This window comes from Homo sapiens, chromosome 13 (genome assembly GCF_000001405.40).
Source record: "Homo sapiens chromosome 13, GRCh38.p14 Primary Assembly".
In the NCBI taxonomy this organism is placed as follows: Eukaryota; Metazoa; Chordata; class Mammalia; order Primates; family Hominidae; genus Homo; species Homo sapiens.
Genome location: NC_000013.11, coordinates 32290011 through 32315848, shown reverse-complemented (window position 1 = coordinate 32315848; position 25838 = coordinate 32290011). Strand labels below are relative to the sequence as shown.

Here is a 25838-nt window from a genome sequence, read left to right as displayed (position 1 = left end):
ATTTGCTTGGCGAAAATCTGCCTTCGGGCAAGGACCTTTCTCTCAGGCATGGGTGGGGGTTGGCAGAGACAAAAGGGCAAGAAGCCGCGGCAGCGACCCGGGGCGTGAGGCGCTCCCCCGCCACGCTGGACTGGGACTGCGGAAGACGCGCTCGTCCCAACCCACTACCACCACCACTAACCCGCTCCAGAGGTGCAGTTCTTTTTTGGCCGGAGTAAGCTGACAAAAACCGCGCCGGTCACAAATCTGTCCCCTCACGCTTCTCCCGGCGGCGACCCACCGCCGCAAAAGACACCCGAGGCGCAGCAGAGGCGCAGCAGTGCCACAGCGGCTCCGCCTCTGCCGCCTAGTTTCAGAAGCTCGCGCCACAAGCCCGCGCTGGCCACGTGACGCCGTGACGCGACACGCAGCACACGCACCACCCGGAAGTCAGGCCTGGGTGGGCCGCTGCGGGTATTTCTCAGTGTGGCGAAAGGAAATTCCTTGTCAGGCATCCCAACCGTCAGTATCTGACCGAATAAAGCGGGAGCTGGAGTGTGTGTTCTCTTCTCGCTGACCCTTAAGAGTCCCAGGCCACCCTGCTTGGAGGGGCCGCCCCTATGCCTACTCCAAGTCCCCCATCCCTTTCTTTTTGCTCCAGCTCATGTTTGGGTGGGCGCCCTCGGGACACGACCTGGGACCTATGAAATACCTTTGTTCTGACCTTAAAAGGGATGTTCTCTCAAGACCTGTTCCCCAAAGCGAGCCGATCTTACAAAAGCTTAGAGTGGTCGGTGTGTGGTTGTGGATGACTTCACTTAGTGGTAGTGGGCGGGGCTGTTATTTGAAATCAGAGGATTTTAGTTCCAGTAGCTGTTCTGCTATTGGGTAGCAGGTGTTCAAGACCTCCGAGCCCGTTTCCTTGCTTGAAAAATTGTGAAACCCATCTTAACTCGCTCATGAAGTGTGAGGTACCTTGCTCCGCAGGGCTTGGTAGTATCTTTTGCTTTTTTTTTTGAGACGGAGTTTCGCTCTTGTGGCCCGGGCTGGTGTGCAATGGCGCAATCTCCGCTCACCGCAACTTCCGCCTCCAGGGATCAAGTGGTTCTCCTGCCTCAGCCTCCCGAGTAGCTGGGAATACAGGCATGGGCCACCACGCACGGCTAACTTTGCATTTTTAAGTAGAGACGGGGTTTCTCCGTTGTTGGTCAGTCTGGTCTCAACCTCCCGACCTCAGGTGATCTGCCTGCCTCGGCCTCCCAAAGCGCTGGGATTACAGGCATGAGCCACCACACCCGGCCCATCTTTTGCATTCTTAGGATTCGGATCACCTGTCTTCCTCGCAGGCTGAACTGGAAGACCTGACTTCATCTCCGAATTCGTTGGTTCTGTAACATGCCTAATACAAGGCTGAATAGGGTTTGTTGTAAGACCTACAAAACCTTCAAATGGATTCAGTGAGAGTTGCTCCCATGGGGGCCTTGCTGCTTCCAGAAGGTGCTTGAGCAGTAAACAGAAGCAACCTTGGATTAGGAAAAGGGTGGGCTCCGCTTGGTTCCTTAGGGACCATTTTAGTTTGATAATCAGTAATCCTTAGTTGTAGAAGGAGGCCTTACTAATGCAGATAGATTCTAAAGCTTTTGCTCTAAGTCTAATTCGCAAAGAAATACGTCTGTGATCCTTACTAATAACAGCTGCCACTTACCAAACATTTTATGAGTTAGGCATTCTGCTTTGGGTTTTCAAGCAATACCATGTTTAATCTTACAGTAATCCTGTAAATTGGTCAGTATTGTCAGATGAGGATACTGAATCAAGTAGTTAAGTAATGTGCCTGGTAGTAAGGCCCAGGTTTGAATTCTAGTCCATTTGACTTCATACACTTAACTAACCTGTGATTTATTTACCCTATAAATCAGAACAATATGCTTTGTCCCCTTTTTGTGGGGGAGGGGTGTCTCACTAGGAGTGGACTAATGAGAACCCGTGGCATGTCACACAAGTCTCAGAAATAACATTTTCTGTCATTTTATACAGCCCCCCATACCTTTATGTTTCTTGTTCTCTTTGTACCAGGGACTTGCAACTTATTAGCTCCACCATAATAGACTTTCTCACCTATTCTCTTCTAGTGCAGCTGCTCAATTTACTATTTGTATTCAATTTACAATATGCTTTAATTTTTCTTAAAAACATTATTTCCAGCTGGGCATGGTGGCTCACGCCTGTAATCACAGCACTTTGGGAGGCCAAGGTGGGCAGATCACCTGAGGTCAGGAGTTCGAGACCAGCCTGGCCAACATGGCAAAACCCTGTCTCTACTAAAAATACAAAAATTAACTGGGTGTGGTGGCATGTGCCTGTAATCCCAGCTACTTGGGAGGCTGAGGTGGGAGAATCACTTGAACCCCAGAGGCGGAAGTTGCAGTGAGCCGAAATCATGCCACTGCACTCCTGCCTGGGAGACAGAGCAAGGAAACTCCATTTCAAACAAGCAAACAAACAAAAACCCAAAAAACCATTATTTCCTAAAAGTTGTATATATTTAATGTGCACAACATGTATATGTACACAGTGAGATGATTACTATAGTCAAGCAATTAACATATCCATCTGTTCACATAATTACCTTTCTTTTGTGTGCGGTGAGAGCACCTGAAATTTCTCTTTGAAACTTTTCAGTATAAAATACAGTATTGTTAACTGTAGTCGTTATGCTGTAAATTAGATCTCTAGACTCATTCATTCTACCTAACTGTAACATTTTAGGCTCTGACCAGTCTCTCTCCATTCCCCCCAACTTCCTGTCCCTGGTAACCACCATTCTACTTTCTGCTTCTATGTATTTGACTTTTTCAGATTCCACATATCAGTGAGTTTATGCAGTATTTTTCTATCTGGCTTATTTCACTTAGCATAATGTTCCCCAGTTTCACCCATGTTGTTGCAAATGGCAGGATCTCCTGTTTTTTGTTTGTTTGTTTGTTTGAGACGGAGTCTTTCTCTCTCTGTTGCCCAGACTGGAGTGCAGTAGTGTGATCTCAGCTCACTGCAACCTTTGCCTCCCGGGTTCAGGTGATTCTCCAGCCTCAGCCTCCCGAGTAGCTGGGATTACAGGAGCGTGCCACCATACCCGGCTGATTTTTGTATTTTTATTAGAGGCAGGGTTTCATCATGTTGGCCAGGTTGGTCTCGAACTCCTGACCTTAGGTCATCTGCCTGCCTCGGCCTCCCAAACTGCTGGGATTACAGGTGTGAGCCACCGCGCCTGGCCAGGATCTCCTGTTTTAAGGCTGAATAATATTCCATTGTATAAATACATGCCACAATTTCTCTATCCATTTTTCTGTTAACAGACACTTAGATTGTTTCCATAACTTGGCTATTGTGCATAATGCTACAACGAACAAGGAAGTGAAGGTATCTCTTCAGGATATTGATTTCATTTCCTTTGGGTAAATACGCAGTGGTGGGATTACTGGATTATCTGGTACTTCTATTAACTTTTTTAAGGAACCTTCATACTGTTGTCCATAATGGCTGTACCTTAAAACATTATCTAACATTACCACATTACCTTACAAAGGATCTTTAGAATGGTCACTACAGGAATATATGAATTAATCACTAATTAAAGCATATGTGTGAATAAGCTGGAAATGAAAAACAGCTTTGAAAAAAAGATTCCCGAACAGTGAAGAGGTAGGGAAAAGCAATTAGGTAGGAATCAGGTGGCAATTAGACATCTGTAGATAGAGCTTCTCTCCCTCAATCAGGGTAATAAGCAGCAGCTCCCATTAGAATCTGAAATAAATGGAGAAGCCAGGAATGAATCTGAACCAACCTGATGAAGAGAAAGAAGGGGCGGATGAAGGAGGAAGGCAAAATAAGGACCCAAACAAACTGGCTAGGATATTAGACTGCGCCTGAGCACCTGAGAGCGGATGGAGCGCTTTGTCCGTGTTCCCTATGGCTTGTACCAGGGTTATGGGAGCACAGTGCCTTTGGGCCAGCCTGGACTCTCAGGGCACAAACAGCCCGACTGGAGGCAAAATATGGGTCCTCCCACTTTTCTGGCCAGGCCAGGGCTGCTGGTGCCCGCGAACGCCCCTGACTACTGCATTGACCCTTACAAGAGGGCGCAGCTTAAGGCCATTCTCTCCCAGATGAACCCCAGCCTGAGCCCGCGGCTGTGCAAGCCCAACACCAAGGAGGTGGGCGTGCAGGTGAGCCCGCGGGTGGACAAGGCTGTGCAGTGCTCTCTGGGGCCTCGCACCCTCAGCAGCTGCTCCCCCTGGGACGGCAGAGACCCCCAGGAGCCCCTGCCAGCCTGTGGGGTCACTTCGCCCGCCACCGGCCGCAGGGGCTTGATCCGCCTGCGGAGAGATGGGGACGAAGCGGAGAGCAAGGCGCTCCCGGGCCCTGCGGAGGCCAGCCAGCCGCAGCCACCATCACGGAGGTCAGGAGCTGACAGGCAGGAGGAGCCCGGGCAGCTGGAGGAATCGGGGGAGAAAGACGCCCCGTGCCCTCAGGAGACGAAGAGCAAGCAGGTGCCTGGAGACGCCGCCTCCGAGCCGCTCCGGAGGCCCAACTTCCAGGTAGATCCTCTCTTCCCTCTTCTTAGTCCTCGACCAGCCTCATCCCCTCCCTCCTTTTCCATCTATGGGGGCAATAAGAGCAAAATCTTCTCTCTCTTCTTCCATGTACTTGGTGAAGGAGAGGGAGCTCTGAAAATATGTATATCACGTGGCCTGTATGTTTGGTAAGTTTTGGGTAAAATAGGTGCCAACCCAAACTAAGCCTGTGAAAACCAACAGTCTGGCAACCACTGCTATTGGAGAATTTGGAGACGAAGAAGGGCTTCGAGTCTGTAATACATGAAATCAGACTTTCGTTTTGGGAAGATTGTGCCGGTAGCATTGTGGAAAATGGATTGGAAAAGTACAAACGACAGCAGCAAGAAGAATCCCAGAGTAATCTTTAAGAGAGATGAGAAACTGAATCAATGCCGTAGTCTTGAGAATAGATACAAGTGAGGTTAAAGAAGTCATTTTTTTTTCCTTATACAAAGTCATAAAGAAGGATCTGGCTTTTTTCCCCTTGCATGATGGTAAAGTACTTTTCTTCTTTATTTTCAGTTTTTGGAACCAAAATATGGCTATTTCCACTGTAAAGATTGTAAGACCAGGTGGGAGAGTGCTTACGTGTGGTGCATTTCTGGAACGAACAAGGTAAATAAAAAGAGTAGGAGGTGAGAGGAGGATGGGGTGGGCACGGATGGTAAGCGGGGAAGAATCTGATTCCTGAGGGAGCATGGCTGTCATAGTCCTGTCTTGATCTTGGTGGCATCCCCCGTGCCAGGTGTACAGGAAGTGCTCAGTGAATGAATGGAACTGAATCGGACTGTCCACCTGGGTTTCCGAACCATACTCTGGCGTTATATATGACAAGATGTCAGGTTACTTAGATGAACTTTTGTTCTTGTCTACATTGGAAGTTTTTCTAACCGTTTTTTAGTTGGTATGCTTGGAACAGGTCTGGGCCTTAGCGCTAGGAAATTTCCACTGTTTGTCCACAAGGTGGGGCAATAAGTGAAAAAACTTACTGTAAAGATTTGCCTGTAAGAGACTTAGGCTACGCCTAAAGTTTCTTTTGCCCCCTTCCTAATTTAATTGCCAACATATTAGGACTGGAAAAGGCTTCACATTAAATTCTGCATTTCTGCATTTTCGTGAATCCTGTAGGCTCTGGTCATTAGAGACCCTCGTTTGAGAATGAGAACAGCAGGCTGCCCCTAAGGCTTCCTCTTCTTTTCCTTGCCCTGTGCACCTCGTTTTGCAACAGTCTACGTGGCCCGATGTTATTAACCTCCATAAGCATTTGAGTGTGAACGCCCTGTGCTGTCGCATGTTTAGAAATTGCCTTACTGGCCAAAGGACTGTGGAGAGAGAGGGCAAAAAGGCATTGAGTTCCGGATGAAAACTTGATTTCTCACACTAGCCATTTACTAGAGACCTAGAGAGTGAATAGATTTTTAAAGTTGAAGTTGAATTTACTTCCTTCTCTTGCCAGAAGAAAAATGAGTTTAATTCAAACATTCCAAGGCACTAGGATACAAAGAACAAAACACAGGACTTGTTCTCAAGGAATTTATTTTGATACGAGTGATGGAAACAAAATGTAATTTGGCAATACGTGCAGTAGCATCCTTCTTCATATGGAAGCAGTGCAGAGATAGCACAGGAAGGAGGGTATTAGCTCTGTCTGAGGGAAGACAGCTTGATGTCCAAGCAGGATTTGAAACAATAAATAGGAGGAAGAGTTCACCAAGCAAGGCAGAGAGAAAATGTGCACAGGAAATTGCACAAAGCCTAGAAAGCAGGTGGTATTGATGGGTAACCACAAGTAATTTAAAGTGTAAGCCGGGAAATACTGAAAAATGAAACATGTAAGAGCTAAAAGATAAGGACAAAAAGTATGGCAGCCACTTCCCATTGAGTATCTACTGTGGTACTTGGTGTACATTATTAGGGAGTTCTCAGAACTATGGAAAAAGTAAGTATTAATCGTATTATTCTGGCTGGATGCGGTGGCTCAGGCTTGTAATCCCAGCACTTTGGGAGGCCGAGGTGGGTAGATCATTTAAGGCCAGGAGTTTGAGACCAGCCTGGTCAACATGGCAAAACCCAGTCTCTACTAAAAATACAAAAAATTAGCCGGGTGTGGTGGCGGGCACCTGTAATCCCAGCAACTCAGGAGGCTGAGGCAGGAGAATCGCTTGAACCCAGGAGGCGGGGGTTGCAGTGAGCCGATTTCCCACCATTGCACTCCAGACTGGATTACAAGAGCAAAACTCCATCTCAAAAAAAAAAAAAAATGTATTCCAATTTTATGGGTAAGGAAAATTAGATTCAAAGAAAAAGTGATTAATAAGAACTAGTACACCTTGAAACCCCAAGGGTAGAGGTTGGTAAAAGCAAGATAAAAGGCAAGGCAAGGGTAGAAGTTGGTAAAAGCAAGATGCAATGGATTACTTAAGAACTGGGAGCCTTTGCAGGGTGTGGGTGTGTATAAAAGCTTGTATTAAAAAAAAACATATTTCTCTTTAGGTTTATTTCAAACAACTCTGTTGTAAATGCCAAAAGAGTTTTAACCCTTATCGAGTAGAAGCAATCCAATGTCAGGTGAGCATATGGAACACTTCCATTGTGTCTATGTTTCATTACTAAAATGAAGCCTCTGTGACAAAATGTTAGGATTTGATAGAGTTGGATATTGGTATGTGAGTGTTCTGTATGTTTGAGATGTTACATTTTAGAACAATGAAAGCATAAATTCTAGTTTGCATCTTTTTTGAAGGGAAAGAGGGGAAGATTCACTATTTCAAGTTGCCTTATGGGGTGTGTTTGTTTTTCCTCTGACACCCTGGGCATAGTTAGAATGTAGTAATGTAAAAGGTGACTGCTGTTAATTTTTTACTACATGCCAAATTTTGAGATAGTGCTTTACATGCATTACCTCCTGTCATCTAATCTTTGTGGGAGATGTTATTCCTATTTTATAGATCTGAAAGCTAAGTTCAAAATAACTTTCCCAAGGTTAGATGGATAGTATTAGAGCTCTGACTGGATTCTATGGTGTCTCCAATGTTTAGAAATTCACAGAACTAGGTGAGATCCTTAACTTGCTTTTTGTAATTGATATGTTTTTTAACCTAAGTCCTTAGTTAAAAACATTTCTTCTTTTTCTATAATTAGTAGAAATAAATAGGCCAGGCATGGTGGATCATGCCTGTAATCCCAGCACTTTGGGAGGCCAAGGTGGGTGGATCACAAGGTCAGGAGTTCGAGACCAGCCTGGCCAATATAGTGAAACCCCGTCTCTATTAAAAATACAAAAATTAGGCAGACATGGTGGCAGGTGCCTGTAGTCCCAGCTACTCGGGAGGCTGAGGCAGGAGAATTGCTTGAACCCAGGAGGAGGAGGTTGCAGTGAGCTGAGATGGCACCACTGCACTCCAGCCTGGGCAACAGAGCAAGACTCCATCTCAAAAATAATTAATTAATAAATTAATTGACATTTCGAAAACTAGCTTATAAGTGATTCATCCTCTAATTTTCTAGTCTGACATTCTTTGATGATGATGTTCAATATAACTACTTATTAAACTGGGTTTAAATGTATTTTCTTTTTTCTCCACCCCTTTTTCTTTTCTCTTGTGTTCGCTTGAATTTTTTTTAATATTCAATATTCCTTTCTATCATTTTTTAATGTCCTTTTGATGGTTACCATAGAAATAACATGACTGTCTGACTTGTCAAAGTCTAAATTGTTAATCTTGCCTTTTTTTTTTTTTTTTTTTTTTTTTTTTGAGACAGACTCTTGCTGTGTCACCCAGGCTGGAGTACAGTGGTGCAATCTTGGTTCACTACAAGCTCTGCCTCCTGGGTTCAAGTGATTCTCTTGCCCCAGCCTCCCAAGTAGCTAGGACTACAGGCGCCTGCTACCATGCCTGGCTAATTTTTGTATTTTTAGTACAGACAGGGTTTCACTATGTTGGCCAGGCTGGTCTCAAACTCCTGACATGATCCATGTGCTTCGGCCTCCCAAAGTGCTGGGATTACAGGCGTAAGCCACTGCGCTCAGCCTAATCTTGCCTTTCACAGACAATGCAATGACTTGAGAACACTCTAACTACATCCTAACTTATATGCTATTATTGTATACTTATTTTACCTATATTTAAAATTTTATAAGATTATTGTGTATAGTCAGTATTCATTTAGTTTTAGCTATACATTCTTTCTGTTATTCTTTGTATCTTCTTGTTTCTAGGGCCACTTTCCTTTGACTTGAACTTTAATATTTTCCATAGTATTGGTCTGGAGGTGACAAATTCTATTTTGTCCAGATATCTTTTTTTTTTTTTTTTTTTTTTTGAGATAGAGTCTTGCTCCATTGCCCAGGCTGGAGTGCAGTGGCATGATCTTGGCTCACTGCAATCTCCACCTCCTGGATTCAAGTGATTCTCCTGCCTCAGCCTCCCTAGTAGCTGGGATTACAGGCACATGCCACCACGCCCGGCTAATTTTTGTATTTTTAGTATAGACAGGGTTTCTCCATGTTGGCCAGGCTTGTCTCGAACTCCTGACCTCAGGTTATCCACCTGCCTTGGCCTCCCAAAGTATTGGGATTATAGGCGTGAGCCGTCACGCCCAGCCTTGGATATCTTTTTAAGAGATATTTTCGCTGGGTATATATAGAATTTCTAGGTTGGAAATACTTCTTTCTGCCCTTTAAGGATCTGAATTTCATTGTTTCTATGAAACAATATAGCTCTTATTGCATCTCTTTTGAAGTAATCTCTTCTCTTTCCCCTTCGTAAATCTGCTTACTTCTCTCTGCCTTGGTTTTTCAGCAGTTTTACAATGATGTGCCTAGTTGTAGTTTCTTTGTAATTATCCTGCTTGAGCTTCATAGTGTTTCTTGAAACTGCAGCTTAAAGATTTTCATTACTTTTGGGAAATTATCAACTGTTATCTTTTCAAATGTTACTTCTGCTCCTATTCCTTCTTTCTTCCAATTACTCATACTAGACCTTTGCACCATATTTCTTTCTGTCTCTTATGTGCTTATCTATATTTTCCATGCTTTTAGCTCTTCTTGCTTTAGGCTGAATATTATCTACTAAACCATCTTCCATTTGTATTTCTCATCTCAGCTCTTTTTAATCTGTGATTAAAACATCCATTGAACTATTGATTTTATTTGTTGTATTTTTCTGTTCTAGAATTTTTATTGCTTTAGAAGAAAACTTCAATTTTTTGCTGGAAATATTAGTTTTATTTCCTTGAACATATTAGCACTTAGTGATTTTAAAATCTGTGTCAGAGAACTCCATTAACTCAATACCCTGTGAGTCTATTGCTGTCCTCTTGGCTTTCAAGTATGTTGTTCTGTTTCCTCACATACAGTACCTGGTTATTTTTGATTGAGTGCTAGCTATCACATGTGAAAAACTATAGTGAGAGTAAACAGTCCCAGACATCAAGCTCACACCTATTTCTGGGTTTTCATCTCTAATGCTCTGATAATTTCTCAGTGATCCAAACAGTTATTTTTAGCTCAGCTTTTCTAGTCATCCAGGAGGCTTGGTTAGAATTACCTAATCCATCATTTCCAGAAGCAAAAATCAACCTTTAGGGTAAATCCTTATTTTATTGAGCCTTTCTTTGTAAGGGTGTTGTGAGAATTAAATGAATTCATGTATATAAAGTGCTTAAGAGAGTGCTAGGCACATAGTAAACACCATGTGAGTATTACTTGTTAGAATTTTCTTACAAGGGCTGGGTGCAGTGGCTCACGCCTGTAATCCCAGCACTTTGGGAGGCCGAGGCGGGTGGATCACGAGGTCAGGAGATCGATACCACCCTGGCTAACATGGTGAAACCCCATCTCTACTAAAAATACAAAAAATTAGCCGGGTGCAGTGGCAGGCGCCTGTAGTCCCAGCTACTCAGGAGGCTGAGGCAGGAGAATGGCGTGAACCCGGGAGGCGGAGCTTGCAGTGAGCCAAGATAGCGCCACTGCAGTCCAGCCTGGGCAAAAGAGCGAGACTCTGTCTCAAAAAAAGAAAAAAAAAAAGGAATTTTCTCATAAGGAGGCATATTCTTCAACAGAACAGTTTATTAAATAATGTTTAAGACTGCATTTAGCAGAATAAAAATGTCTATTTTCACAATATAGAAAGGTACATCTTGGCCAGGCATGGTGGCTCACTCTTGTAATCCCAGCGCTTTGGGAGGCCAAGGCGGACGGATCACCTCAGGTCAGGAGTTCAAGACCAGTGTGGCCAACATGGTGAAACCCCATCTCTACTAAAAAATACAAAAATTAGCTGGGCATAGTGGCGATTGCCTGTAATTCCAGCTACTCAGGAAGCTGAGGCAGAGACAATTGCTTGAACCCAGGAGACGGAGGTTGCAGTGAGCCAAGATCTCACCACTGCACTCCAGACTGGGCGACAGAGCGAGACTCCATTTCAAAAAAAAAAAAAAAAAGGTAAATCTTGACTTATTCCATGTGGCTATGGGACATGTAGAAAATAGAATGGCAGGGTTGGGGGGATGGAACCAGGGTACTGTACCAGTTTCCATAGGATATTAGTTTTAATTATTGGAAGACAGAAATGAGATAATGGTTGAAAGAAACTATTTTAGATCCTAGTAAAGATTGGGCACATCGAAAAGAAGAAGAAAAGAAACATTTAGTTTCCTCCAGAATACCCTTCTCTCCCAGTTTTAACAACCCAAAATATATTCAGACATTGCCAGATGTCCACTGGGGTTGGAGATGGGGGAGTAAAATCACCCCTGGTTGAGAACATCTGCTCTAGTCTTTTTTAAATGTTCATTTTATTCCTACCCACTGCCACTCACCCTGACCTGCCTACAAATCTAAACATCTGCAGAGTGAAGAAACGCTATAAAACTCTTGACTTATTTTTTTCTCTTACATTATGTTGCCTTGACTGGTTCAGCTACAAATGTAAAAATCTACATAGGGAAGAAATTCTACAAAACTCTTAAATTCCTTTTACATTATGTTGTCTTGATTGGCTCTGCAGTATTCTCTTGAATATCTTCTGTGATCATTCATCTTGAAAAAATATCTGACATTTAATGTGATACAAGTAATTTTGTACAACTTGGTCTTGGCCTTCTCGTAGGACTCAGAGGATGAAGGTTTCAGGGATAGGGTAATAGGGAGAAGTACTGTGATTTGAGGGTTACATTTGAAACACTAAACTGATCATTTAGCGTCCAAACTCTTCTTTGTTTCCTAAAGACCTGCTCAAAGTCTCATTGTTCCTGTCCTCAAAAGAAGAGACACATTGATCTAAGGAGGCCTCATCGACAGGAACTGTGTGGTCGCTGCAAAGACAAGAGATTCTCCTGTGGCAATATTTACAGCTTTAAATATGTGATGTGACTTGTACAGTGTGACTTGTAATGGACCCCTGAGCTCTTCTTGTAACTTACTGTGCTGTCTTCCTTTTTTGCAACTTGGCTCTGACCTGGCATCGGAAAATGGCTAGGCTTTTGTACTTTTTGTAGATTGTGTAACAATTGTACAATGTGAATAGAATAAAATAAATGCATGTGAACTAGACCATGAAGCCACATTAATTGGTGATCCTAGGGTAAAAACATCAATATATGGCATTGGGAAATGGTAGATACTGTCACTTATATGAAGGGGAACAATGAAGAAAAATAGCCATTCTTTTGACAAATTTTTATAAGTCGGACGTTCTAAGCACTGGTTCTAAGCATTATATATAGAGATGATGAAGGGGCAAGGTCCTTCCTCCAAGTATACACAACTATAGCAAATGCAGAAGCAGCCTTTAGCATGTGCCATGCATTGCTATTACTCACTACAGCACCCATATGAAGTAGGAGCTATTATACCTTCTCATAGATGAGGAGATAGAGGCACACAGAGGCCAGAGCAGAGTGCCAGGATTTAAACCAGGTAGAGTAGGACTTGCTCCATGCTTTCACAATTACATTTATACTTCTCAAGTTCAGATTGTGATAAATGCCATGAAGGAAATAGGGTGCTATGATAGAGTAACCTTTTAGACACGTTGGCTGGGAAGAGGTGACATGAGATTGAGACTCGCAGGATGAAGGGAGCAGGGAGAAGATGGTTTTGATCCAAGGGAACAGCAGGAATAAAGGCATTGAGGGGCTGAGGAATAGGAGCCCCCTGGGGCTGATGTGGGACATGAGGCTGCAGAAGACAGGGCTCTGATCACAAAGGATTCTCAAGGCCATGTTTAAGCAAATGACAGCCCATGAGGGGCTTTCAACAGTGCAGACACATTCTCACTTCAAAAAGCTCCCTTTAGCGGGAGACCAGTTGTGAGGTTAATGAACACATGAGCAAATTGATGGCTTGGACAAGGGTGATGGCCAGGGAGACGAAGAGAAATCCATGGGTTTAAGATAATGTTTGAAAATGTGCAGGGCTGGCAGTGGAAGATGGAGGAAATAAACAATGACTCAATATTGTGCTTTGAGCTGTAGGGTGAATGGAATTGAGAGCTATACCAGGTAGGAAGCATGTTCTGGAGTCAGGTTACCTAATTGCAAATCGTGGGTGCTGTACTTACTTAAGAGATAATTTTGGGCAAGTTACTCTCTACCTCTCAGTTTACCTATCTGTAAAATGGGGATAGTGATAGTCCTCACACCATCAAGAGACGAACTAAAGGAGTTGAGGCATGTTCATCACTTAGAATAATTAGTGCCTGTCACTTTGAGGGCTCAATACATTTACCTCTTATTTTAGTGGAGCTATTTAGTGATGTGGGGATGGGCTTCTGTTTTCAACATAAGTTTGAAGTGTTGGAGACATCCAAATGGTAGATGTCATGTAGCCTATTGGGTATATGTGTCTGGAATTTAGGAGATAAGTCAGGGCTAGGGATAGATTTGGAGATAACAAGTAGTTTTTAAAGCCATGGGCCTGGATGGAATCACCTGCACCAAAATCTCACAAATCACCACTAATTAACTGACTCACATAACCAAATAACACCTGTTCCCCAATAACCTATGGAAATAAAAAAATTTTAAAAATTAAAAAATATAGTTTCATAGAAGCAGGAAAAAAAAGGGAGTACAACACAGGGCTCTGGGGTGTACCAACACTTAGAGTAATGATTCTAAAACCTTAACATCCCAGGAGTCATTGGGTGAGCTTGTTAAATGAAGATTCTGATTCAGTAGGTCTGGGGTCTGAGACTGCAAATCTAGGAAGCTCCCAGATGCCATCAATGCTGCTGGTTCCCCAGACTATACTTGGAGCAGCAGGAACTTAGTGGTTAGATGAAAGATGAAGTTAAGAGGGATAGGAAGAGGATGACGAGATGAAAATGAAGATTAAACAGTATTTCCAGAAGGTAGGAAAGTCGACTGAGTCAAATCCTGCCGGGAGGTCGAGAAAGGTGACGACAGGTCCATTGGATTTGGCAGCATGGAGGTGATGGGGGAGGTTGAAGAGAGAAGTTTCCTTGGAGTGGTGTGGACGGAAGCAGCGTTAAAGTCCAAACAGTGAACAGAAGTAGTACTTCTTAGATGTTTTGCTGTAAGAAAGCAGAGAAACTGGTGATAGCTAGAATGGCATTTGGGGAAAGTGGAGGCGCAGAGTATGTTGGCATATTAAAGGGAATCGTTTAGAGAAGCTGATGGCAGAGCAGAGAGGGGAATGTCTGCGGGAGCAAAGCCCTTGAATAGGCAGCAGAGATGGGGTCCAGAGCGCCAGTGGAGCAATTGGCCCCTGAGGGGAGCAGTGATATCCCTTTGATTATAAAGGATGAAGCACCTAGAATATAGGGCTAGTTAAAGATAACTTTATATTTTTGGTGGGGAAGGTGAGACTCATTTGTTTACTCAATGAATTATGAAGCAAAGCCATCAGCTGAGACAGGTAGGATGCTGAGGAGGGAGGAAAATATGAGAAATAACTCTCTCAGGCATTAGGAAATTGAAATGATCAGGAAGGCATAAGTGTATTACAAGATTGTCTCATAGTGTTGAGATTTGAGATTTTCTTGGTTGTAGTTGCATACTAGTAATGTCACACTTCTAGTAATGAAGACACTTCTAGTAGTGAAGATATGACTAGAAATGTAACATTACCAGTGTCATTGTTAGTGCGACACTACATGTGTGACTTGCATTCTAGTAATATCTTCATCCTACTAATGTCACACTTCTGGTGCAGGTGTGGGAAGAGTCAGTTTTAGGTTCAGCCAGGCTTGGGGTTTAACCAGCTGAGTAAGACAGGGGTAGGGCATCCCTTGTGAATGTCAGCAAGAGAGGGATTATAATGACCCATGGAATTTAAACATGCTCCAAAGAAGAGTAAAGACCTGTGAGGGCCACAGACTGATATTCATGATGGGAGAATTGTCAGAGGGGTGGGGGCTGGAGTAAAGGGGAACTGGGAAAATTCCTGAGTAGGGGGCCTGAAGGTGGGATTCTGGAGCTGGTTCACTTACTGCTATGGATCAGGTTTTGGTATAGCCAGGAAATTGGGTGGCTAAGGTAGAAAAGAGTGAAAATGCCTGGAGGTAAGAATGTTAACAGGATGAGAGGGAAAAGATTTCATACAGGTTATACACAAGACTCCTGAAGTCCTGGAAACGACATCGGAAGCTGGGGTGAGCAAGAAGCTCTAGTCTCTCCGATGAATAAGGGGCAGGAAGCAGGAGGGCTTTAGGTCACCAGTTCCCAAGCGCGGTTGCAATTCAAAATCATCAGAGGAGCGTTAGAAAGGATTTACGGGATCCGGAGGGGGGCCCAAGCCTCAGAATTTTTAAAAAGCTTCCCCAGTGCTTCTAATGCAGCTGAGGGTCACAGCCACTGCTGTGGATGACAGTGATGGAGTTGGGGAAGGAAGTGGCTAGTACAGCCAGGTGGCAAGAATTTCAAAGTCTCTGGGCTTTTCGAAATAGAGATGAGGAGAGAAGGGTTGGACATAGTAAAGGGGACCGGGAGGAATCTCTTTGTTCTCCTGGCCGAGGAGCTCCTGGAAGTTCGCACCAGGTGGCCCAAGTTCTTGGAATCTGAAAATTGAATACAATATCTATTCAAGTTTGCTGTTAAAAGAAGGATCTGGATTACAGAAGATGGTGACAGAGAAGGAGGCATCTGCCAGGAAACTGATCTGTAAGTGGATGCAGTAAATTCTAGTCACTCACTCACTGTGACCTCAAATAGGAAACAAAGTTACAAAAAGATCAATGACAGATTTGGGTAGAATTACTACACCAACAGCCTACGTGGAAAAACAACTGGGGGTGTGCTTTAGAAGAAAGAGCACTTCGCTATATAGGAAGTTTCTCCTAGTTCAGTGTCTTTCAAAGTGGAGTGGCTGTTACAATGCTGATTTGAGGGATCCTGCGCTGGATTTACCAAACTGGTCTCCAGAGGGGTCAACCTGAGGGATTCTGCATTTTTGACAAATACCCTGGGGTGACTCTTAGGTCTAGAAAGGAGAAAGCAATGTTCCAATCTTGGCAGTGGATTAGAATCATCTGGGGAAACTTAAACAGCACTGGAGTTTGAGCACAGCTTCAGACCAATTACATCAATTAAGACGAAGGCTGAGCGTTGGGGTTTTAAGTCCCTGACATGATTTAATGTGCATCTGAAATTTTGAGCCCATTACCTACACTCTAATTTTTATGAGAGATCCCAGTCCCGGCTGGACAAGACAGGGGAGTATCCTACTTTTTTCTCAGGGGCTTTAAATGCCATATGTGTGTCTTTAGCCCAGACTTTGCTCCTCAACAACAGACTCACACATCCACCTGTTTACTCACCATCTTGTCTTGGATATCAGACATCTCAAAGTTAACATGTCTGAAGAATAAATCTTGGTTTCTATCTCCCAAACATGCATTCCCGCATCTCAGTTAGTGGAAACTCCATTCCTCCAGCTGTTTGGGCTAAACTCTCTCCCATTCCACGTGTCATTGGTAAGCCCTGTCAGCTCTAGCTCTGAACTATTTCCAGAATATGCCCACAACTAATCATATCCCTTGCTAGTACCCTAGCCCAAGCCAGCATCGCCTGGTGACTGCACTGTTGCCACAGCCATCTCTCTAGTCTTCCTGCTTCTACCTCTGCCCATCTGCAGTCTATTCTGCACATAGCAGCCAGAATGATCCTTTAAAAAAATTATTTTTATTGTGGTAAAACATATATAACATAAAATTTACCATTTTAAAGTACACAATTCATTGGCATTAAGTACATTCACAATGCTGTATAACCACCACAACGGAACTTTTGTTATAGAGCTTTTCTTCATCGCTATGAAGGAGTAATCCTTTTAAACATAAGTCACAGCATGTCACTACCCTGCCCGCAAACATTCAGTGGCTTCCCATCTTGCTCAGCAAGGGACAAAGTCCTGCCGTGGCCCACAGAGCTTTTGGCTGTCCTCTCTGAACGCTCTCTTCACTCATTTCACCCGGTCATTGGCTTCCTTGCTGTCCCTTTGACAAAGTGACCCTGCTTCTCCTTCAGGGTCTCTGCATGTGTTTTTTCCTTTGCTGGAATGCTCTTTTCCTTGGATATCCATTGTATCCTCACTTCATTCAGATCTCTCCTCAGATATCACCTTATTAGAGTGATAGCTAAGATAGCCCTGTCCACATTACTCACTGTATCCGTTTTGTTCTTCATGGCACTAATCATCACCCAACGTAGACAAGTACATCTTCCTCCACTCAAATGTAGGAGCCTCATGGGAACAGGGACCACATCTGCCTTGATAGCTGCGGTGTCCTCTAAAACAGTGCCTAGCCCAGAGTGGGCATGCAATAAATATTTGCTGAACAAAGAAATATCCTGGGTCATGATAGGTATCCAAATATTAATTGATCTCAAACAAATGCATTGAAAACTTTAAAAACTAGTTTCATTGAGATACAATGAACATACCCTAATACTCACCTATGGACACGAATTTTTTGTTGTTAAGGCAGGCATCAGGAAGCACGTGTAAGCTATTGATGTAAGCAGCCTGGAGGTACGCTTATTCTTTCCAGAATTCTACAGTTCACTGAAAAGATCATTGTTTGTTAGGACTTAGAACCAGAAGAGCCTTGAGACCTAACTCTGGATGTTCACGCATGTGTGTGATGCCTACAATTAATTACAGGCATCTTTATTTCACAGTAACATCGGCACATTTTCTTAACATCTCACCGATGTTAGATGGGTTAGAGGTGGGAATGACATTCACGTGCCTCTAAAAATGTGCAGTGCCTTTTCTAAAACACTATATTTGGAGACTATAATTTTAATCAAGTGATGTCTAAGTTACAGAGCGCCTGTCTGGATTGCTTTATTCTGCAGGTGGATACAAAGTGTATCATGTTTCAGTGCTAGAAAACAGTGAGACACAAGGAGGCATCTTTCTTATCACTGAGGCATCTGTTAAATATCTACCCTTTCCTTTGGTACTTCTACTTCTTTGTATCCCTGGGGAAGGCAATTAACATTAATGCTTCTGTAACAGAGGCACAGAGCAATAGCCGACAAGATTTGACTGGTAGATCTAAAGTTATTGCTGGGCTCTGCTGGCGTGGGGCTGCATCCTACACAATTTTTCCCATCTCCACTTAAAGTAGAGGAGGTGAAGAGATAGAGGAAAAGTAGAAGAAACCTTTCACATTAATACATCTCCTTTTAAAAATAAAATTGAGAAAAACACAGACCACTGCTTCCTATGTTAATATCTTGGATTGTAATGTACTGTTGAAATCCTTTTTTTTTTTCCTTCCCTTTTTAAGAGTAAACCATCACGGTGGTTCTCTGCTGGGTAAGAAGCCATGGTAGAAAACTCAGTTCATGACGAATCTGTTCTTTCTACTGTGGCTCCCAACAAAACTCTCTGAAAGTTGTCTACTGTGGTTAGCCACAGAAACCTTTATTTTATGATATTTTTCAGAGAGATCATGATTCAGTTGTTTCTACAAATCATAGCAAATCATCTTTCAGGCAAGTTGAAAAAAATAAATCATCAGAAAAATATGTTTTCAGCAGTCCAGAAAATTATTAAAATCTAGTAGTTGCATCTGTAGCAACTACTAGGATTTAAAAAAAATCCTAGGTTAGGCTCTCTTCTATAGAATACTCCTAGAATATTACTGCCAATGATTCAGTAGCCATATGCTAGTAAAGCAAGCTATATTTGTTGGTCCATGTAAAATATGAGTAGAAAGACGGCATAAATGAGATTGTTACATGTTTCTCCCTGTGTTCCTGGGGGATAGGTGTTGGTGACAGAATTACAACTCTACTACTTTTTCCTGCTCACTATAGAATTAACTTCCAAATTTGAAGGATGACAACCTAATTATAGGTTATGGAGAATTAGAGCTCTCACTTTTTTCTGATTTTTCTCTTTGGTTGATTACAGAGAATTGGTTGAAGCTCACAGTTTTGATGCCAACTTCCAAAGAGATAATACTTACCTCCAGCTTCACAGGGCCATGCATGGCATGACCCCCACGGGTGCCATTCAGATCATACATGCGAGGGGTGCCCCTTGGGGTTATTACTTTGGCAACCCACATGCAAAACTTCATGTGTGCCCAGGACAAACATTTTCATTAACCAGAAATAAAGTCCATGGTCAACGTGTATTTTGTCTTTTTTTTTTTTTTTAGTCTAAAGAAAGTTCTGAACAGAATATCAATTAAGCTTACATCACAAAAACTTTAAATGTATTTACAGAGTGAATAAGTTACATAGATAAACTCTGAATATGTTTCTGCAGTGCAACAAGTTCACATGCACACATCTAACACTTGACAGCATTAAGTTTAAGGAGAGAACTTAAGAATGGCCCTTTACATATATATTACACATAAAATATGACATCGAAGAAACAAAGTAACAACTCATATTTTACCTTTATGATTCTACTTCTGACTATCCAAACAGATATTAAAATATGCATGCCTGACAGGTGAAAAGACTTGGAATTTATCTTGTGAATAGTTTTCTCTACAAAACGGCAAAGTTAATTAAAATTAACACTCATCCTTCAGCAGTATAAATATGCTCATAAAAGCAACCTTCTAGTAAAAAGCAGCCAAGATCCTTAAAAAGAGTCTATCTGGACCATTTTTGGTGCAAAGAGATCCAGGGCTTTCAGAAACAGTAGCCTAGCAACATAAGAAAGGTACTTCATAGCAGCTCCTTTTAGATACAGTAATTGTATTCAAATTACAGTGTACATTACATTGCAGTCCATTTACAATTCCCTTTTCACATACACAGGCTGTCAGCTTTTGACCATCTTACAGTTTTCAGTGGCCAGCTTCATTTTGCCTGCCCCTTTCTCAGCCCACGAAAGAAAGGAAAAAGAAAAAAGAAAAAAGAAAAGAAAATGGAACAAGACAGGGAAAGAATATACATGTTTGAGAATATAAAATTTTTTGAGTGAAGAAAACATTGCACTTTTGCCAATCTAAAATTGTTTCTAGAAAGGAAGGTACTGTTCAGTGTAGTCGGCTTTGGTATGCAACGGAAGTCACTTCTTCAGTAGCGAGTTGCATATGCTCGGTCAAATGTAACACATTTGTGCCACACAGCATGATGAGTGGAGTCTGTCCAGGACGTTCTAAGCTACCTTGGTTCTTATAGTATTGCTACACGTTGGAAGTTCTGCCATCCTCTTTAGAAAAAGCCCTACAGGTAACAAGAGGGAGAACAGTCTGTCCAAGCCTTTTGAAGGCCGAGAAGACACTGAATGACGTTGCCCCAGCATGGCAGCACTGCCAGTTTGGAACCCAGTGGGGACAGGAGGCTCCTGTCAGAGACTAGTGCCAGAAACACTGGAGTCTGGAAGAAAAGTAGTGAGGACTCGGTAACTCTGGGCCCTGCGGATCATGTCCCGGATCTCCATGTTCAGCTCCATCAGCTTGGTGCAGATCTCGGTCAGGCTCTGGTTAGACCCCACCAGGGCATAAGTACCCGTCTGTCCCAGAGTTTGGTGACGGAAATAAATATTCAGTAGTGTCTGGACCTCATCATCAGAACTGCTTCCAAAGATGTCATTGGGCCACAGACTTCTGCAGTCAAAAAGAACAGCACAGATTAGAGGCACTATTAGTCACAAAGTTGGGAGCTTATGAGTCTTCATTAATATAAGAGTATTACTTTTTAAAAAGGCTTTATTGAGATGGAATTCCTGTATCAGGTAATTCACTCATCTAAGGTAAACAATTCAGTGGGTTTTAGTATCTTCAGAGTTGTGCAAACATCACCATAATCAATTTTAGAATATTATTTTGGTAAAATATCAAAAGTATAAAAATATCAGAATGGAATCTGACACTCCTAAAACATTTACCTTATTTGCTATAGCCTTCTGGTTTCAATGAATGTGAATACAATATCAGAATGTAGGGGCAAAACCAAAAAGAATATATTCAAATGTTAGTTAAAAATTATATAAAGGTATATTTTGAAGTGCTTCAGCATTTTGTCATTTTAGGGACGACAAATGGCCAGAACCAACACCAACACTTTCAATATGTAGTGTTCTGAAAGCTGAGTGTTTCTGGTTTGGCAGCAGTAAAGATCTGAGAAGAGATCTGTAAAATATCTAGCCTTCCGTAGTGGGCTAGACTCCAACCATGACAGAGTAACAACCAGGTGTGCATTTCCTGCAACCACCTCTAAAAGAAATAGCAGAGTCACCTGCACTCCCTGATCTGCCGCAAAGCTTTGCCGAGTTCGTTGTTCTTCAGGCACTCCAGCATGGACTGGATGGCTGCTTCAGTGGACGTGAAGGTGGGCTCGGACCACGCGCCGTCTGAATAGAGAGGGTCAGCTGCAATGACTGCACTGGCTTCCTTCAGGTGTTTCTTTAGGTCACTCAGTTCCCTGGACATATTCAGCAGCTATTTAAAAAAAAATGTTTTTTAAACTATATTTAGGTGCTGGGGGAATTTTACATCCCAAAAGGAAAAAAAAAGGATCTTATGGGTGTGGTTAAGCATAAGCTTAATACCTTGGTAAATTCAGATAGGATAGATGACATTGTACTCCATGGTATGTGTAGGGGATTGTGGAGTTGGATGCATTGAGTATGTGTCAACTGCTGAGATGCTCTCCTTATAGAAAAGGTTAAGACTTCATTTAAAATGTGTTCTATTTAAGTTAGACTTAAATAGGGAATAAATACAGAAGGAAAGAGTACAAGAGATCAGGCTCAAGAGTGAGTAGATCTGGGTTCAAATGCCGGCTCTGCAGTGTACTGTAGGAAGATGGACAAGTTAACTGACTTTTATGTGCCTCGGTTTTCTCATCTGTGAGACTGAAGATAATAGCCATCCTAAAGGTTTATTTTAAAGATTAAGTGGAAATAATATATACAAAATGCTTAGTACAGTCCAGCACCTAAGTGCTCAATTAATGTAATTGTGACCATGGACGCTGTCCTAATAATAAGTTTTTCTCACTCTTGGTTCCACACCATGGGAAAAAGCTGAAGACACAATTTTGAGGAGATAGAATAATCTTAAACTAATGTTTGTATTAATGCTACAGCAGTAAAAGATATTTTCCCTCGAAGTTACTGGAACCAAAGGATCCAGAGTGTTAAAAAGTAAAGATTAAGAAAACCTGTGTCACTTCTAAGTGTCTCAAAATATACTACGGAAGATGGTTGTTTTGCAATTTGATCTCAAGAGCATTAAAAAAATTGGCATAAAATTAAAGGTTTTTTTTCCTCTTTGTAATGCAAGTTGATGATGCCTGTTTACTTTGGAAAGTTATTTATTCAACAGCTTTGCTTTTCCTCTTCATTCCCAACTCACTCACGGTACAAACAATAAAAAACTGAAGCCTTGAAGGATTATTTTTTCTTGGCACACATGCCTGTTAAATGCAACTACCTACTACAGAAGTAGGTTTAAAATTTAGTGAAATAATCTTTTAAAACAAGATATTAGAGTATCTTAATTTTGTTTGTAGTTTTAAATTTGAAAGCAAATTTCTCCTTATTTTAAACCTAGATAAGTTTTAAACATTATGTGTGTATATATACATTATTTAAAACTTATGTAGTATTTAAACACTGTGTGTGTACCTACCCATATGAATACACACACCAGGTATACCTTGGAAATATTCAGTTCTAGACATCTGCAATAAAGTGAGTCATGTCAATTTTTTGATTTCCCCATGCCTATAAAAATTATGTTTACACAATATTGTAGTCTAAATACACTAAGTCTAAAAATATACATACCTTAATTAACAAACACTTCAGTGCTAAAAAATGCTAACAATCATCTGTGCCTTCAGTGAGTAATTATCTTTTTGCTGGTAGAGGATCTTGCCTTAATGTTAATGGCTGCTGACTGATCAGGATGGTGGTGGCTGAAGGTTGGGGTGATTGGGGCAATTTCTTTAAATAAGACAATAATGAAGTTTGCTTTATTTATTTATTTATTTATTTATTTATTTATTTATTGAGATGGAGTCTTGCTCTGTCACCAGGCTGGAGTGCAGTGACATGATCTCAGCTCACTGCAACCTCCTCCTCCCGGGTTCAAGTGATTCCCTTACCTCAGCCTCTCAAGTAGCTGGGATTACGGGCACGGGCTACCATGCCTGGCTAGTTTTTTGTATTTTAGTAGAGGCAGGGTTTCACCATGTTGGCCAAGATGATCTCAATCTCCTGACCTTGTGATCTGCCCACCTTGGCCTCCCAAAGTGCTGGGATTACAGGCGTGAGCCACCGCACCCTGCCAAAGTTTGCTTTATTGATTGACTCTTCCTTTCATGAAATATTTCTCTGTAGCATGTGACAGCATTTTATACACCTTGGAACTTCTTTCAAAACTGCAGTCAATCACCTTAAACTCTGTCACTGCTCTATAAACTAAGTTTATGTAATATTGTAAAACTTTTGTTGTCATTTTGACAATGTTCTCAGCATCTTCACCAGGAGTAAATTTCACCTAAAGAAACTTTGTTTGGGCCGGGTGTGGTGGTTCATGCCTGTAATCCCAGCACTTTGGGAGGCCAACGGGGGTGGATCACTTGAGGTCAGGAGTTCGAGACCAGCCTGACTAACAAGGTGAAACATCGTCTCCACTAAAAATACAAAAATTAGCTGGGCATGGTGGTGCGGGCCTGTAATCCCAGCTATTCGGGAGGCTGAGGCAGGAGAATCGTTTGAACCTGGGAGGTGGCAGTTGCAGTGAGCCGAGATCGTGCCATTGCACTCCAGCCTGGGCAACAGAGTGCAACTACATCTCAAAAACAAATAAACAAACAACAACAACAAAAAAACTTTATTTGTTCATGCATAAGAAGCAACTCCTCATCCATTCAGGTTTTATCATAAGACTGCAGCAATTCAGTCACATCTTCAGGTTCTACTTCTAATTCTAGTTCTCTTGCTATTTTTACCACATCTGCAGTTACTTCCCCTACTTAAGTCTTGAGCCTCTCAAAGTCGTCCATTGGAATCACCTTCTTCTAAACTCCTGCTAATGTTGATATTTTGACTTCCTTTCACGAATCATGAATGTTCTTAATGGCATCAAGAATGGTGAATCCTGGCGGGGCACGGTGGCTCACAGTTCACTTTGTGGGGGCCGAGGCAGGTGGATCACCTGAACTCAGGAGTTTGAGACCAGCCTGACCAACATGGCAAAACCCCATCTCTACTAAAAATACAAAATTAGCCAGGTGTGGTGGTACATGCCTGTAATCCTAGCTACTCAGGAGACTGAGGCAGGAGAATCGCTTGAACCTGGGAGGCGGAGGTTGCGGTAAGCTGAGATTGTGCCATTGCACTCCAGCCTGGGCAACAAGAGCAAAGTTCTATCTCGAAAAAAGAAAAAAAAAAAAAAGAAAAAGAAAAAGTAAAGTTTATCTTGACCATGTGGCAAATAAAAAAGAAAAGAGTTGATTCCTATTATCTGACAACTTATAATTGAATAGAGGAAAACTGGTTGTGAAGGCCTACTTTCTTGAAATAAGCATTTGAAAGTATAAAGTCGTATAGTTTTTTCCTTTTTTCAAACTGAGTAATAAAAAAATGGTAAAATGGTTGTAGTTTGTCTCTTGTGGCTCTTCCTCTTCTGCTCTTAGACGGTGAGGTTTCCCAGGCTTCATCCTCACTTCTCTGCTGTCACTGGCATGGTTTAATCGACTTCTGCTTGTTCACAATCACATCTGTCCTTTTGTTCAGATCTCTCCCCTGACCTCACGTCTAACCACCTGCAAGAGGTCAGTCGCCGTTTAAGCCAGGTCTTGGTCCAGTATGCAGCCATTGACTAGCCGGCAGAAGGCTTGACTGTCTGGACACAGCATCGCCTCAGTCCTTCTTTTTATATCCCTGTTTCAGCTTTGGTGCTACTGGTCACCTGGTTTCTATAAGATGGAACCTGAGTCTCATCCTCTCCTCAACTCTTCTTTCTCCTTCATCCCCCCATTAGTTTCATTGATTTTTTTGTCCCGTGTCTCACATTTCCTTCCTCCTCTCCATACCTAGCGCTTCTGTCCCAGTTCAAACTCTCTCCTTCTGTTTGAACTATTTCAGCAGCCTCATCACTGGTCTCCATGTCTCTGTTCTAGCTGTCATCAGACCCACCCTCCGCATAGCTGCCAGAGAGATCTACCTGAAATACTCCTAGGTGCGGCATGTCTTATGATCTCGCCTTTACCCCTCTCTCTTCTGCCTTATCTCATAGCTCTTTTTTGGTGCACCTTCTATTCTAGCAATACTAAGTAGCTTGTAGTTCCTTTCTCTTTCTTCCCATCAGGCTTATGGCCATGCTCTTTGTTCTTATTGGAATGCTCCTCCCTCACTCCAACTCACCCTCTGAGAGTCCATTCAGGTGTGGTTTCCTCCAGCAAGCTCTTCAGTTTCAACCTTTCTTACCCCTAGGCAAATGAGCCGTTAGTCCTCTTTGCTTCTATAGTATCCACTATACAGCACCATTATTCCACTGACTACATTACAGTAGTATTTCTTCATTTGTAGAAAAATTTTGGCTCACTCAGCAGTAATATGTTTAAGTTATTTTATTTTAAATATTTTAAAATATTAAAATATCCTGGTGCTAAGCAGGGCAGGGAAACTGAAGAGAACCAAACACATCATACAGACATTTCCTTCTTACCTCAAGGCAAAGGCAAGTATGAAAAACTAATGTAAAGAAGAAAACCCACACACATGGAAAGTTTTCAAATAAGGATGCCCAGACCCAGGGCCAGGATCAGGGAGATGCAAGCAAG

At 42.3% G+C, this 25838-nt stretch overlaps 3 protein-coding genes across 14 annotated transcripts in view, besides 9 other annotated features; 1 reads left to right on the top strand and 2 right to left on the bottom strand.

Annotated features, from left to right (window-relative positions):
• BRCA2 (BRCA2 DNA repair associated) overlaps positions 1-772 on the bottom strand; it is an 85192-nt gene extending 84420 nt beyond the window's left edge. For 6 of the 7 annotated variants that reach the window (NR_176251.1, NM_000059.4, NM_001406720.1 and 3 more), the window contains exon 1: positions 182-341. The gene's annotated coding sequence lies outside the window, so the exon portion shown is untranslated. Of the gene's footprint in view, positions 1-181; positions 342-703 lie in introns of those variants that run through there. The other variant, NM_001432077.1, reaches the window with a different exon arrangement.
• Positions 60-556: a promoter, noted in NCBI's record as "497 bp promoter". NCBI's record gives its function as "cell-cycle dependent bi-directional promoter" and the evidence as "EXISTENCE:reporter gene assay evidence [ECO:0000049][PMID:20202217]".
• Positions 60-1290: a biological region, named in NCBI's record as "BRCA2 promoter/silencer region". NCBI's record gives its function as "regulatory_interactions: BRCA2 | ZAR1L".
• Positions 379-404: a protein binding site, noted in NCBI's record as "USF site; binding antagonized by p53 (PMID:12591928), resulting in repression of expression". NCBI's record gives the evidence for it as "EXISTENCE:protein binding evidence [ECO:0000024][PMID:10961992, PMID:12591928]".
• Positions 463-499: a protein binding site, noted in NCBI's record as "NF-kB site". NCBI's record gives its function as "promotes transcription" and the evidence as "EXISTENCE:protein binding evidence [ECO:0000024][PMID:10961992]".
• ZAR1L (zygote arrest 1 like) lies at positions 486-12150 on the top strand. The gene is made up of 6 exons (NM_001136571.2): positions 486-534; positions 1299-1519; positions 3756-4577; positions 5118-5210; positions 7089-7163; positions 11827-12150. Exons 3-6 carry the CDS (start codon positions 3924-3926, stop codon positions 11968-11970), a joined length of 966 nt encoding a protein of 321 aa, NP_001130043.1. The 5' UTR covers positions 486-534; positions 1299-1519; positions 3756-3923; the 3' UTR covers positions 11971-12150.
• Positions 885-951: a transcriptional cis regulatory region, noted in NCBI's record as "-582 to -515 region". NCBI's record gives its function as "negative regulation of transcription" and the evidence as "EXISTENCE:reporter gene assay evidence [ECO:0000049][PMID:10961992, PMID:18990703]".
• Positions 903-927: a protein binding site, noted in NCBI's record as "PARP1 site". NCBI's record gives its function as "promotes repression of transcription" and the evidence as "EXISTENCE:protein binding evidence [ECO:0000024][PMID:18990703]".
• Positions 996-1280: a mobile genetic element.
• Positions 1070-1290: a silencer, noted in NCBI's record as "221 bp amplicon". NCBI's record gives its function as "mediates negative regulation of promoter by Snai2" and the evidence as "EXISTENCE:reporter gene assay evidence [ECO:0000049][PMID:10558858]".
• Positions 5595-5654: a silencer, noted in NCBI's record as "silent region_5247". NCBI's record gives its function as "represses an Ori minimal core promoter by ATAC-STARR-seq in GM12878 lymphoblastoid cells {active_cell/tissue: GM12878}" and the evidence as "EXISTENCE:reporter gene assay evidence [ECO:0000049][PMID:35858748]".
• The window catches only part of FRY (FRY microtubule binding protein), a 267352-nt gene continuing 258237 nt past the window's right edge, over positions 16724-25838 (bottom strand). For all 6 annotated transcript variants that reach the window (XM_047429999.1, NM_001411012.1, XM_047430000.1 and 3 more), the window contains 2 exons: positions 21279-21481; positions 16724-20647 (listed from right to left, as the gene is read on the bottom strand). In XM_047429999.1, coding sequence (XP_047285955.1) covers positions 20389-20647; positions 21279-21481 — 462 coding nt within the window. In that variant the 3' untranslated portion in view covers positions 16724-20388. The remainder of the gene's footprint in view (positions 20648-21278; positions 21482-25838) is intronic.

Bases quoted from the DNA above. Each gene is read 5' to 3' on its own strand.
- ZAR1L (NM_001136571.2), top strand. From the start codon at position 3,924: ATGGAGCGCTTTGTCCGTGTTCCCTATGGCTTGTACCAGGGTTATGGG. The intron at 5,211-7,088 runs GTAAATAAAAAG...ATTTCTCTTTAG, and splicing joins GCATTTCTGGAACGAACAAG to GTTTATTTCAAACAACTCTG. The intron at 7,164-11,826 runs GTGAGCATATGG...TGTTTCCTAAAG, and splicing joins TAGAAGCAATCCAATGTCAG to ACCTGCTCAAAGTCTCATTG.